The following is a 12,825-nucleotide window of genomic DNA, read 5'->3' as shown; positions in this document are numbered from 1 at the left end:
GAAACATCTTAAAGTCCTAAAAGAAAGGAACTGTCAACCCAGAATGTTATATCCAATGAAAATATCCTTCAGGAATGAAGGCAAAATAAAGACCTTCTCAGATGAAGGAAAACTAAGACTTAGCCCTATAAGGCCTCTTTTAAGCTTCTGGCCAGAACTATAAGGTAGTATGTTTTGTTGTTTGAAGTCACTAAGTTTGTGGCAATTTATTGCAGCTGCAATAGGAAACTAATACATTTATTTTTGACTAAAAATCAGTAACAGAATGACACCTGGAAAAACCTCCAAATACTTAGAAATGAAACATTACTATTAAACACTACTAAATGATCCACAGATGAAAAAGGAAGTCTCGAGGAAAATTAGAAACTGGTTTGGAATGACTGAAAATAAAAATGCAATATATAAAAATTTGTAGGATGCAGCTAAAGCAGTGCTTGGAGGCAAATTTACAGCATCAAATGCTTATATCAGAAAAGAGGAAAGGTCTCTAAAATTTTTTTTAAAAGATGAACAAAGTAAACCCAACAAAAAGAAGTAACAGACTTCTAGCAGACTAACAAACAAAAAAAGAAAGGCACAAATGACCAAAATCAGAAATGAAAGAGGGGATATCACTACTGATCCCACACACATTAAGAAGATGCTAGGGAAATACTGCGAACAACTCTGTGCACATAAGTTTGGCAACTTAGATGAAATAGGCCAATCCCTTGAAACCCACTGGTGACCACTCACCCTGACCCCCATACCCCTAACCATTCATGGTGCTAACTAAGGCCTGCAGGAAAAAGAGCCCTGGGGCCAACAGTAACCTGAGGCAGACAGAACCACGACCCAACAGGCACAAGGACCTCACAACATGACCCAGGCTTCTAGAAGATTTCTTAGGTTCAAGAACCACCCTGGAAACTGAATCTCCAATAACTCATGGCCTTAGAAGTTCTAAAAGGGTGCAGCACTGGCAGTACTATTGTGATCTAAACCAGCAAAGGGTCTGATGTGACAGGAGAGAGAATGCTGAAATCAGAAAGGTCACAAGATCTCCTAGAGGCCATCAAGGCCAATGCCCTGTGTCACCATGCAGCTGAAAGCTGAAAATAGACTTACAAATGTTTCTCCTTTCCAAAGCTCCTCCCAGATGGGGATCTCTCACGCTTCCCTGACAGCTCATCCCAGTGTTTAACCATGCTTACAGTCAAGATGTTCTTCCTTATGTCCTACAGGATGGCTGCAATTCCAGCTAATTCCCCCATTACCTGTGCAGAGGGCTGGACCACAGGGGATGGCTTCCTCCCTGATCGTGGGCTGTGCAATTCACACAAAAGATATATCTTTGGAGCCTCCACTGGTAACTGGGGAATACTGGGAGCTACTTAGCAGGGTTGTTTCTAGACGGAACACAATAACAAAGTGTCTATTGCTATGCCTGGCACACAGTAGGTACGGAAGGTGGTAGTCACCATTAACAAGTGGCACTTGTCAGCCTGCTTCTCCCTGCTGTAAAAATCCACCTCCTCAAATATTTTATGACAGACCCTATTTTCTACCCTATCAATCATTCGGCTTGTCAGGCAGCTCCATATTTGCATGGTTTTTGGCTTTGAAGGAATTTTTTTTAAAGCTTAAGGTGAACTGTGTTCCCAGCAAGCAGCTTGCCTATTTAAAAGGATCCTGCTCCAGACACCTCCAGGTCACCAATGGCAAATGCTCGATCCTGGCCTGGTCTCTGAACCAAGCAAGTCTAACTTCAATCTCCCCCAAACCCAAACCTATAGGACTTCTGGCCCCTTTCAGGTGCAACTGAGGGGACCTGTTCATTCATATTGAACCTAGTTGAAAAGATACTCTGCTATTCCATGTCTCTCCATTTCTCTGTTTTATCCTAAAGCAGGGGTCAAACTTTTCCTGGAAAGAGCCAGCTAATGAATATCTTCAGCTTTGCAAGCCACATGGCATCTGTCTCAACTACTCAACCTTGTCATCATAGCATGAAAGCAGCCAAATGTTATACATAAGCCAATGAGCAAGCTGTGTTCCAATAAAATTTTATTTACAAAAACAGGCAGCAGACAGGACTAAGCTGCAATTTGCCAACCCCTGGCCTAAATGTGAGGGAGAGGCCTCAACCACCATCCTTTCCTCATACATTTCCTGCAGTCAACACAGACTTAGAAATTCACCATGAAGCTTAGGAACCTCTCTCTTCCTCTCTGCCTAGGCATTTAAAGGCTGCCAAGAACCAATCAGCACAGGTAAAACACCATAAGACAAAAGAAGATCCTTTGCTCTCTTACTATGTGGCAGCTGATACACCACTTCTGACACACACACACACACACACACACACACTCTCTCTCTCTCTCTCTCTCTCATACACTTAATGCCAATAAATATAAAATAATTACTTCAGGCCCCATGGGAAGGATATTTCTGACGGGAAAGCTCACAACAGCCAAGGCAGAAAATGTCAGCCAGGATCTTGATTCATACATAATGGAGATTCTGCTGGAAAACAGCATAGGACATTTGAAGGAAATGAATCATTTACGGAGTGCAAGAAGGTTTGCACCATTTCTCAGGCAACACCCCACCCTATCCTGCCCCACCCTGCCAGGGGACCCAGGCTCCGGCAGGTCCCAAAGAAAGGGCGCCGGATGTGGGCACAGGAGGGTGCCAAGCCCAGGAGTTTGTTTGTGTAGCTTTTCACTCGCCTACTTTTAAAAGGATCCAAAGCAGCCTTAAGAAATCAAACAGTGTAAAAATAAGGCCACTGGGAAGAAAACAAAAATGAAGGCTCAAAGCGTGTTTCAGGCCCTGGGATGCACTGACTGTGCGAAATGAATAGTGAACTGGCCCCCAGGCTCCCTGACAGCAAAGGCCAGAAAAGGGAGGAGTCTTGGATGACTGCCTTCCAATGACAGAAGAGCTGGGATGCAGGAGAAGCACAGGGACCTGGAATTCTTTACCGTGGACTCCTCAGCTCTGTGATTCTACCCCATCACCCTATCTGCTGAAGTGCATTGCGAATAAACCTCGGTGTCAGTGGGATATAAACTAGAGGTAAAGGGTGAGAAACAAGCCCTGGGCCATCCCAGCCACCTCCAGACCTACAGGGATTTCCCCCATACCCGTGTCCTGATTAGCCACCAATGCAGACTGAAGGAGACTGAGCTTGGGCCACATCCTCCAGGTCCCCGTGCAAGAGCCTGGAGGATGGCCCCGCAGTCCAGTCTCCAGCCAGCGGTCTCGCCTTTGGCAAAGCGCATGCCCTCCACCTGGGCTGGCCAGCCTGCCGCAGGGTCTAAGAAGCATGGTGGGGTCCATCCAGTGAAAATGAGCCCAGATGGGGACAGAGAGGAAATCTCAAAATAATCACCATGCACGCTACTCTGGGTTCAGATGATGTCTCTGGTCCATGCGCCTTAGGGTCAGGTGTCCTCTGTATTTAAATGGAAGAATCAAGGCACAGGAAAAAAAAAAAAAAAGCACCACAGACCAGTCAAGTCAATTCCGGTTCTCCTGTCTCAAATACTGGACTGTTCCTTTCATTGAACAGAAAATACTGAGTCTCAGAGGGGAGCTCATCTTATCCTGCTCCAGGCAGGCTTGGCTGCCTCCTGCTTGGACACCCCTCCCTGCAGCATCCCAGCCAGCTGCTCCAAATGCCGGGTCTCGGTGGCTGTCTCCGAGCCAGTGGCCAAGACGACCAGAGACATCTATAAGAACACTTGCTCCAGCCCCAAGAAGCGGGGGGCCTGCAGGGGGCCACTCTGTCCAGGTTTTGTTTTTTTGGGGGGGATGGAGTCTTGCTCTGTCGCCCAGGATGGAGTGCAGTGGCGTGATCTCGGCTTACTGCAACCTCTACCTTCTGGGTTCAAGCGATTATCCTGACTCAGCCTCCCAAGTAGCTGGGATCACAGGCGTGTGCCACCATGCCTGGCTGATTTTTGTATTCTTAGTAGAGACAGGGTTTCACTGTGTGGGCCAGGCTGGTCTGGAACTCCTGACCTCAAGTGATCCGCCCACCTTGGCCTCCCAAAGTGTTGGGATTACAGGCGTGAGCTACAGCCCCCGGCCTCTCAGCAGGTTTTGGAGGGTGTCTTTCCTCCTTTGAGGAGGCCAGCGTCTCTGGGCAGACTTGGCGTATTAAAACGAGAGTGGGTAAGCAGGGAGTGGGCTCTTCCTTCAAGTCATCTGCCAACCCACCACCCTGCTGAGAGAATGTGGCTCACCTCACTTTGAGATGGCTCAGAGCAAGGCGGCAGTTTGACTCTCCTGGAGGCACAAGTGAGAGCTGAGCTTTAGAAGAAATGCCTCCCCTCAAGGCACTGCCCAGGACTGCCAGTTAGAAAGCAGCCATCACCACCACCTGGACCTCGGTCCTCCCCCTACAGTCCATAAAGAACTCTAAGAATCATTAACCAAGTAAAGGTATAAATGCCAGTGCAAAAAACCAATTCAGGCAGCCACTTGGGACAGGAGAGCCCTGGGGATCAGAGAGGTGGCCCAGGACAACAGCAGTGACCACTGTGTGGCGGCCACAGTCGAGAGATCTGCGCCCGAGCCTGTCTTCCTGTTGTGGAGTCAGTCCCTGTCTCTGCCATTTCAGCACCAGCTTCCTTTAGACCATGTGGAAAAGAGAGATAAACTGTCCCTCCAAACCAGCGGGTGAGATAAGGGCACTCCTGTCTGTCCCTGTGTGTCCTACACGGGGTCCTGGGCATCAGGGCCTGTGCCTTTGGGAAAGGCAGGAAGAGGCGGCTCCCCATGGGGAGGCAGGGCTTTGGCCAGGAATCATTTAGCGGGGAAAGGAAGGAAAAGGTCAGCAAAGTGTTCCCATTACAGGGGGGACAGCAATCAAAGCCCCCCACTGTCAATGGCAGGAGGAGAGGCGGTGTGAAAACCACATGGCAATCAGGGTCTAGAAACAAAACCTGAAATCTCGCTGTGCACTGGGAGGGTGGGAGACTCACCTGGACCCTTGCCAACTGGAGTGGAGAAGGTCACAGATCCCACAGAGCCAGGCCCTCCAGGCCTCTGCTGCCTGCCTGAGCCCTCCTCCCTGAGTACCCCCTGCACCGGCAGCCTAGGGCTCAGCCAGCCAGAATAGGGGGGCTGATACCAGGAGAAGAGGGAAGAAGGGAGCGACTGTGCACACAGGGCTTTGGATATGCTCTCATTTCATCTTGAGAGGCACCATAGGAGGGAGTCAGCATCCGCATCTACAAGATGCTAAGAAATGTACACAAAGCCCAAAGCCCAGCCTCAAGGCCCCTGCTCCTGTCCCCCAATGGGCCACACACAGGCACATGCACTCACACAGCCATACATGGACACTTGGAGATATGCATGTACACACACAAGTGTGCACATACAAATACTCACACATGCTCACACTCACACCCCAATTCCCTTAGTGGAGTTCTTGTCACACTGCTAGGTGGTCACCCTCCACCCACTCCAAGGTGTCACCCCTTGTGCTATGGACTTAATACTGTACCCCCCACCAAAGCTCTTATGTTAAAGTCTAACCCCCAATGTGATAATACTAAGAGGTGGGGCTGCTGGGAGGTGATGAGGTCGTAAGGGTGGAACCCTCATGAATGAAATTAATGCCTTTACAATAAGAAGCCCAAGAGAGCTTCTTTGGCCCTTCTGCCACATGAAAAACAGCAGGAAGATGCCATCTATGAAGCAGGGAGCCCTTATCTAACATGTAATCTGTAGGTGCCTTGATCTCAAACTTCCCCAAATCCAGAACTGTGCGCACTAAATCTCTCTTGTTTATAAACAGCCCAGCCTGGCATTTTGTTATGGCAGCCTGAACAGACTAAGACACCTTGTTAGTCTTTATCAGAAGCAGGAGAGATGCTGCCCAGAGACCAGGACAGGAATTCTGCCCAGGTAACCACCTCAAGGTTCCAACAGCATGGGCATGAGGGAGGAAGGCTTGGGCTCTTGAACTCAGCTTCACAGGCCCAGACAACATAGCCCACGTCTGGTCTGTTCACCAGCATGCTGTTGGTCACAGCCCTGAAGCCCATGGGCCCCTGCCACGCTCCCCTCTCCCAGGTCATGTCTCCTTCTACCCTTCGCCCTTTGCCACATCCCACCCTCTCTTAGCCTTCTCTACAAAATCTACACTCCTCTGCCTCCTTCCTCGGGAACCACTTCCCCTGCTCTGAACTTTCTCAGCACTTAGCACTTGTGCAATTTATCTGACAATCGTATCAACCTTTTCCCACCAACATACTGTGAACTATCACTTTACTTCTCATTTTAATCTTCATATGCTGTGTTCCACCTTCCCACTTAGCCTGGAAACTCGGCCGGAATCAGACAGTTTTCTATGCCTTACTGTGCCTAATAAGGGGCCCAAGACGCGCCAGGCAGGTGTGTCACCTGTTCACTCTGCAAGCATTAACTGAGCACCTACTACGTGCTGGCATTGTTTTAGGCACTGTGGATGTAGAAGTGAACAAAGCACATAGTGACTGCAGGAAACTTGCTCCACAGGGAGACCAAGAGGAGTGACAGGTGAGAAGACGGGGAGGGCTATCACTTCTCTCTCTTTTTTTTGTTTTTTGAGACAGAGTCTCACTCTGTTGCCCAAGCTGGAGTGCAGTGGCATGATCTCAGCTCACTGCAACCTCCGCCTCCTGGGTTCAAGTGATTCTCCTGCCTCAGCCTCCCAAGTAGCTGGAATTACAGGCGCCTGCCACCACGCCCAGCTAATTTTTTGTCTTTTCAGTAAAAACAGGGTTTCAACATGTTAGCCAGGCTGGTCTCGAACTCCTGACCTCAGATTCTGCCTGCCTCGGCCCCGCAAAGTGCTGGGATTACAGGTGTGAGCCACTGAGTCCATCTGGCTGTCACTTCTCATAACAAAGACAACCCCACCCTCCCGAAAGCTGTCCCACAAAGAAAAGTGGGAAGAGACAGAAACTCTAGTGAGCCTGGCGGGAAAACAAAAATGACTCTTGCCATTGATTGAGGATCTGTCTTGAGTCCTGAGAAATAAGGACCCTGCCCCCTACCAGACCTAATCAGAGCCAGCAGCTTTCTCTAAGAAGCACTGAGCAGTGTGAGCATCCTCGTGTGGCCTCTTCATTCAGCATGGAGGTGCAGGAATGGGGCTCCCCAGAAGCCCCCAGCCCTTTGCTCCAAACCTATCATCCTGGAACCCTCCTGTGAAGACATCTCCCACCTGCTCTGGTCCTAAGGGAGGTGCATGGGAAGACAGGAAGACCATCATTTACACCCCTGATGAAGGGGAACAGGGTGAAGGAGGGAGGGGAGAGAAGCAGCAGACTGGATGGGGCAGAAAACCTTTCAGAGGTGCTGAGACATGGTCCCCCATGGCTCCTCTGCAAAGCAAAGGTGACTCCACTCTCCCTAGGGAGTCTCAACCTCAAACATGTGCCTCGGAAGCCTGAAGTCTCGGCCTGATGCATGAGCAGGTCATCTTCCATCTGCATCGCCATCCTCCAATTTGTAAAAGAGGGAGCAAATAGTGGATATGAATTACTCATGCACTAGGAAGAATGAAGTATTGCATCTGAAGCAATTCTAGTTTGTTGTCAAGGAAGCTGAACCAGGAGGTAATCAGAAGGTACTGTGAGCCCATTAGAGTGAGAAATTCAACCCAAAGAGGCCATCACCTCTCCAAATCCTGCCCTACCATCAAAGAGGCGGGTTCTAACAGACAGGCTTCAAAGATACCAAGAGGCAACGACGTGAGAGCAACTCCTGTGTGTGTCCCCGGGGACAATCTGATGAAGAAAGCAAATCTAGCCCCTTATCCAAAAGGGGAACCATGGCATGAAATAAATCTCCCTGGAAGCCCACAGTGCAAACTGGCTGCTCTCTCTGATGCATCAACAATTCCAGGAAGCAGTGAGGGTGGAGGTTACTACCCCCATCTTACAGATGGGAATGCGGGTCCAGAGAGGATCGTTGCCCAGCTCCGAAATCAACACCCACAGCTGATTTTCATCATATCCCAGAAGCATGCTGCAAGGAGTGTGAATGAAACACCAAGTATACAGTAAGAGGAAGTGAGCTGAGCTTGCAAGTGGGTGGAGAAGAAACGCACTCCCCAGGCAGCCTCAGGGCCTCAGAAGCCCTGCTTCCACCTCCCCTAGCAGACCAAGCCTGGGTGGGGCTGGGCTCAGGGATTCCCATGTTTTCAGCACTTCATACCTGAACCCAACCTGGAAGCAAATGCTGCTCCAAGACAGTTATAGCCACTGAACCAAATGACCCAGGCAGAGAGGCAGCAGGAGGTGGCAGACACAGAGGCCATTCCCTGACACCTGGCTCTGGCTTCTCCAAGATAAGTCATTCACCCCTCCTCCCCTAGAACCAAACATGCAGCTGTCACTACAGCAGGGTCAAAATCCCATGGACGGTAGGTGAAACTTCAGTGTAACCTTCCTCCTTTCAGAAGTACATTCGACAGAGGGAGGTAGATCCTGTTGGTCCCCATGCAAGGGGTGAAGTGGTTCAAGCACTATGGGAGTGGGGGCACAGCAGGACCCCCGCATGCTCTGCTAGACATGGAGCTCTAGAGGGAACCGTGCCCACACAGCCTCAAAGGGCAGGTGGCAGAACAGCCCCTCCCCTCTGTGCAGCCACACATGACACCAGCCAGCCCCAAGGGGCCGTGTCCTTCGAGTCAGAAGCAATGGTAACAGGATGACTCAATGCTCCAGGAACTGCAGACTTGGAGGCGAGAAGGCGGTGCACACACAAGTACCAAAGGGAGCCCAGGAAGGAGGCATGAAGGAGCGGCTGAGAGCGGCCGGAGGAGGGAAACAGGTTACATGCAGGTCGGGGACAGAGAACTACATGGGGTGGGATAATAGTGGTGACTGCAGAAAGTAGCCTCAAAGCTGGACACAGAGGACAGAGCTGGGCAAGTGGAGACATTGTGGGGGACATTCTAGGCAAGGAGAGGGGGTGCAGGAAGCACACAGAGGGGTGGCGGGGGACTCTCAGAGCTAGCAGAGAGGAGGGAGCTGTGCTCCCGCACCGCCAGTGCCCACGAGCGTGGAGGGTCCTGCACACCTGCCTGCCTGAGATGCGTGACCTTGACCTTCAGCCCATGGGCAACTCAGAGGTTTGTGAGAAGGGAACAGCGGTCAGGTCCCTGTGAGGATGAATCTGGCCATGCAATAGTGGACCTGGGCAAGAACCAGGGACAGAGGCCAAGGGTGGGACAGGGTCACAGCCAAAGGGACAAGGTCAGACTGCCCCGCTGGGTTCCACATAGGGATGACTCTGGAGCCATGGTGGGGAGAGGCTTGGGATCCGGGGGGAGGCTTTGTGCTAAAACAACATCGTCTAACATAAGGAACAGAGCTTGAAAATGCCAGCCGCCCATTCAAGTGTCTTTGGTGGGCACGCTCAGCTTTCACCGACTCACTGGAATTTTCAGCCTTGAGAAGCACCTACCCAGTTGGAAGACACACCCCACCAGGGCCATCTGTCGGCTTAAGGGCTTTGCTGCTTCACTTTCTCCCCTCCCCCTGGATTATTTTTAAAAGATTAGGTTTCCTGTTTTCACTGCCTGGTTGGCCTGGCCCTCCGTCCATCCATCCATCCATTGTCACAGCCATTAGGGCAGCGGCATGGCAGGAATGGGCTGGAAGCGCAGGCCTTCTCAGCTCCATAACGAGGGATCAGCCACCTCCTCACCCGGCACCAGCTGGCCGCTCTGTAAACACCGCTTCCTCCCTGAGCAGGGCCGGGCTGCGACCTCACCCTCGGCAAGGGGCCTCTTAATGAAACAAGTCAACAGGCAATTTTTCCTAACTGCTGACAGCCACTCACCCTCAGAATGTGCTCATTCCAGGACAGAAAAAAACAGCCCTTTACAGGAGTCCCCTCTGCCTTGCCTCCCCTCCACCAGCATCGGAGGGCAGGCGAACCAGGCTGTCCTGGGTGAAGCCCCATGGGTCCTCACTATGAGGACACAGGTCCATGCCTGTCCAGTCACTTGTGGCTTGAGTGGTGATCAGAGATCAGCACACTGTTCAGCTTGTCCCCACACGAGTCCCACAGCTGAAGAACAGCCACCAGCCTCACCTCCGCACCCTGCCACTGAGCAGGCCAGACCCCTCCTCACCATCAGACCAGAGACTGGCAGGGACTGAGGTGGTGGCTTCCCAGCTCTCCGGTCCCACAGTGGCCCCGTGCCAAGGCTGAGCAGGGACAACTAGTGGGTGGGAGAGCTTCCACCAGCTTTACCTGCCTTACATAATGGGGGTTCCCCTGGATATTGTCTGATTAAGAGCTCTATGGCTAGCAAGTAAAAAGTTTAAACCCGGTGGGTTAGGGAAGGGAACACAGTTTCTGGTCACCCTGGGCGTGAGGCACTGTCCCGGGTCACCTCCTGCAATCCTCACATGCCCCAGATGCTTACCCAGCTCCGGGGGCTCAGACCTGCCTGCCCAGATCTGCCTGGAAGCCAGGGCACTGGCAGGGCCTGAGGGTCAGGTCAGAGCACAAACCCCACACCAAAGGGACAGCACTGGCATCGTGATGACAAGGGGGTCCAGAATGAAGAGAACAGTGAGGGGAGGGATGCCAATGCGACAGGGGAAGGATTCCTCTGGTCAGAGTAGGGTTACTGCAGGCCCGAAGTTTCCCAGGAGCCAGGCCCATTTGCCCAGAGCAGGTTCACAACCCTTCCCTGCAGGGCCTGACTCTCCTCCCCAAGGCAATGTAGGAGCCTGGGCCACGGCTCTCCCACCAGCAGGATCTGGACGTCAAGGCCTTTCCTGTCCGAGCAGGCGGCCACAGCTGCAGATCACCGCCTACCCGGGATCCCCGCCTTCATGGGAGTGCCCTCCCTCCAGGTCTCACGAGCATCCCACACGTAGGCAAAGTGCGGTTTCCCATGTATTTATTTATTCCACTATTTATTTTCAAACATTTACAAACTTACAGAGAACTTGTAAGAGTCCAAATAACCATCTGTTTAGGAAAACAATGACCTTCAAAAGGAGCCTGAAGGATTGACAATTCCATGTTCCCCACCCACTTCCCTAACTTCAGTCAACCAGACAATACTGTCCTTGGACACCAGGGTTCCCACCGATGCCCCCTAATCCTACATAAGTATGGTCAGCTCTTGCAGGCTGAGCCCCACGCCTACCTTACAGAGGAGGCCAACCAATGCCCCCATGGCCTGGGTCAATTCATGTTGAACCCAAGGCCTATCCACTCCATCAAGGTCAGCAAGGCGAAGAGAGAGCACCAGAGCTTGAAGGTACCCCATGGTGTGGTCACTATCTCTGGATGTCTTCTTCCCGAAGGCCAGGCTGCAGAGGTTCTGCACTGGCCGAGCCTGCAAGTTTATGGGACCTAACAGTGGATCTGACACCCCAGCAATCTTGAACTAGGAGTCCAGTGGATAACATGCTAAGGATTTTTTACTTTGAACCTACTATATAACATGGCAACAGCAAAAATCTAAAAAAGTCATCCACAACCTCACCTCCTCTACCAATGGTCTAGGATCATTTTCCCACAATCACTTCCAGTCCTTGTCCTGTGACTGTGTAACTAAAATCCTGTGGTGGGAGCAATCACCAGAGCCCCTGAGAATCATGCCTTGTGTCCACGCCGTGTGTCCACATGACACTGCTGCTCCTCCCATCAAGAGGTAGAGTCCAGCTTTCTACCCCCGCTTAGATCTGGGCAAGACTTGCGACACACTGTACCAACAGAATCCGGTGGAAGTTCAGCTGAGAAGTTCCATAGCCCAGGCCTCAGGAAGCCCTGCAGCATCCACCTTTGCTCTTGGAACCTAGCCTCCATGAGAAGCAACTCAGGCTTCACTGCAGAACAATGACGGACCACAAGGAGAGAGAGGTCTCAGCCTTCCGGTGTCCCTACCAAGTCCTTAGCTACAACGGTTAGGCCACCTCGGATGCCAGCGGCAGTCAAACCACAAACTGAATACAGTCACATGACCAAGCCTGTGTGACAGCAGAACCACCTCATACCAAGCCAGATGGCACTGCGATTAAATCGCATTGTTTTAAGCCTCTAAACTTTGGGATGGTTTGTTACCGAACAAGAGATGACTGATACAAATCATCACACTTTGGGCATCTCACTTTTTCCACTTATGACAATGTTCCACGTTGCTAATTCATTTTCATCCTTACCATCGGATGATGACAGAATCGTCTACCAAGCTAATGGAACCCCTTTTGTATTACAGGATGCTCAGTTTGTTTCCAGCTTTCCACTGTTATGAATACAATGAATAATTTCACATAATACTACCATAAAAGAAAAGGGGGAAGCAATTTTCCTTAGGAAAATGCCCTAGGGTGGAATTACTGCGTCTGAGGTTATAAACATGGTGATGCCTCTTGAACAATGTAAGCGCAGAATTCAAAGTGAAAGACATCCTTGTAGCATGATTTTAAAAGGAGGCAGTGAGTACACTTGGTTTTGCAGAAACACAGACATTCATGTTCTGAAGCCAGGCCCCACAAAAATCGGTGGTGTTGCCAACGCTTATCAGAGCCACTCAGACTGGACCAAAGCGGAAAGAACTCGGAGCACCTATCCATAAAACGTGCCCACAGCTTCCTCCGAAACACTCAAGGGAAACAGAAGGTTACATATAAGACATTTCTCAGTTAGACTTGGTAATTACCAGCTCAGCCAGATTTCCTAAACATGGCAAAATTAAAGGGAACGTGGTAATTCTAGAAAATGACCCATGTTTACAGGAAAGGGGAAATTCCTGGAGTCTCAGTCACCATCTAACTCCTGGATTAACTGGTCCCCTATCCCTTG

The 12,825-nt window shown here is 50.8% G+C and overlaps 1 protein-coding gene across 2 annotated transcripts in view, besides 5 other annotated features; it reads right to left on the bottom strand.

The window, feature by feature from the left end:
* Positions 1-10,982: part of a mitotic recombination region, noted in NCBI's record as "BCR-ABL minor-breakpoint cluster region recombines with the ABL minor-breakpoint recombination sub-region within the ABL breakpoint recombination region, producing the e1a2 transcript", that runs on past the window's edge. NCBI's record gives the evidence for it as "EXISTENCE:nucleotide sequencing assay evidence [ECO:0000219][PMID:20703256]".
* BCR (BCR activator of RhoGEF and GTPase) overlaps positions 1-12,825 on the bottom strand; it is a 137,529-nt gene that overhangs the window by 89,358 nt on the left and 35,346 nt on the right. The gene's annotated exons all lie outside the window — the stretch shown is intronic.
* Positions 6,642-6,843: a silencer, noted in NCBI's record as "fragment chr22:23564024-23564225 (GRCh37/hg19 assembly coordinates)". NCBI's record gives its function as "represses an EF-1alpha promoter that drives an FKBP-Casp9 reporter gene in an ReSE screen in K562 erythroleukemia cells {active_cell/tissue: K562}" and the evidence as "EXISTENCE:reporter gene assay evidence [ECO:0000049][PMID:32094911]".
* Positions 7,924-8,218: an enhancer, noted in NCBI's record as "tiled region #5876; K562 Activating DNase matched - State 25:Art". NCBI's record gives its function as "activates a minimal TATA promoter and a strong SV40 promoter by Sharpr-MPRA in K562 cells {active_cell/tissue: K562}" and the evidence as "EXISTENCE:reporter gene assay evidence [ECO:0000049][PMID:27701403]".
* Positions 8,306-8,385: an enhancer, noted in NCBI's record as "active region_18750". NCBI's record gives its function as "activates an Ori minimal core promoter by ATAC-STARR-seq in GM12878 lymphoblastoid cells {active_cell/tissue: GM12878}" and the evidence as "EXISTENCE:reporter gene assay evidence [ECO:0000049][PMID:35858748]".
* Positions 10,323-11,112: an enhancer, noted in NCBI's record as "H3K27ac-H3K4me1 hESC enhancer chr22:23559755-23560544 (GRCh37/hg19 assembly coordinates)". NCBI's record gives its function as "activates a minimal SCP1, AML or CMV promoter by ChIP-STARR-seq in naive H9 embryonic stem cells {active_cell/tissue: H9 hESC(naive)}" and the evidence as "EXISTENCE:reporter gene assay evidence [ECO:0000049][PMID:30033119]".

Source organism: Homo sapiens, chromosome 22 (genome assembly GCF_000001405.40).
Source record: "Homo sapiens chromosome 22, GRCh38.p14 Primary Assembly".
Classification (NCBI taxonomy): Eukaryota; Metazoa; Chordata; class Mammalia; order Primates; family Hominidae; genus Homo; species Homo sapiens.
This window is presented reverse-complemented; position numbering and strand designations above follow the sequence as displayed.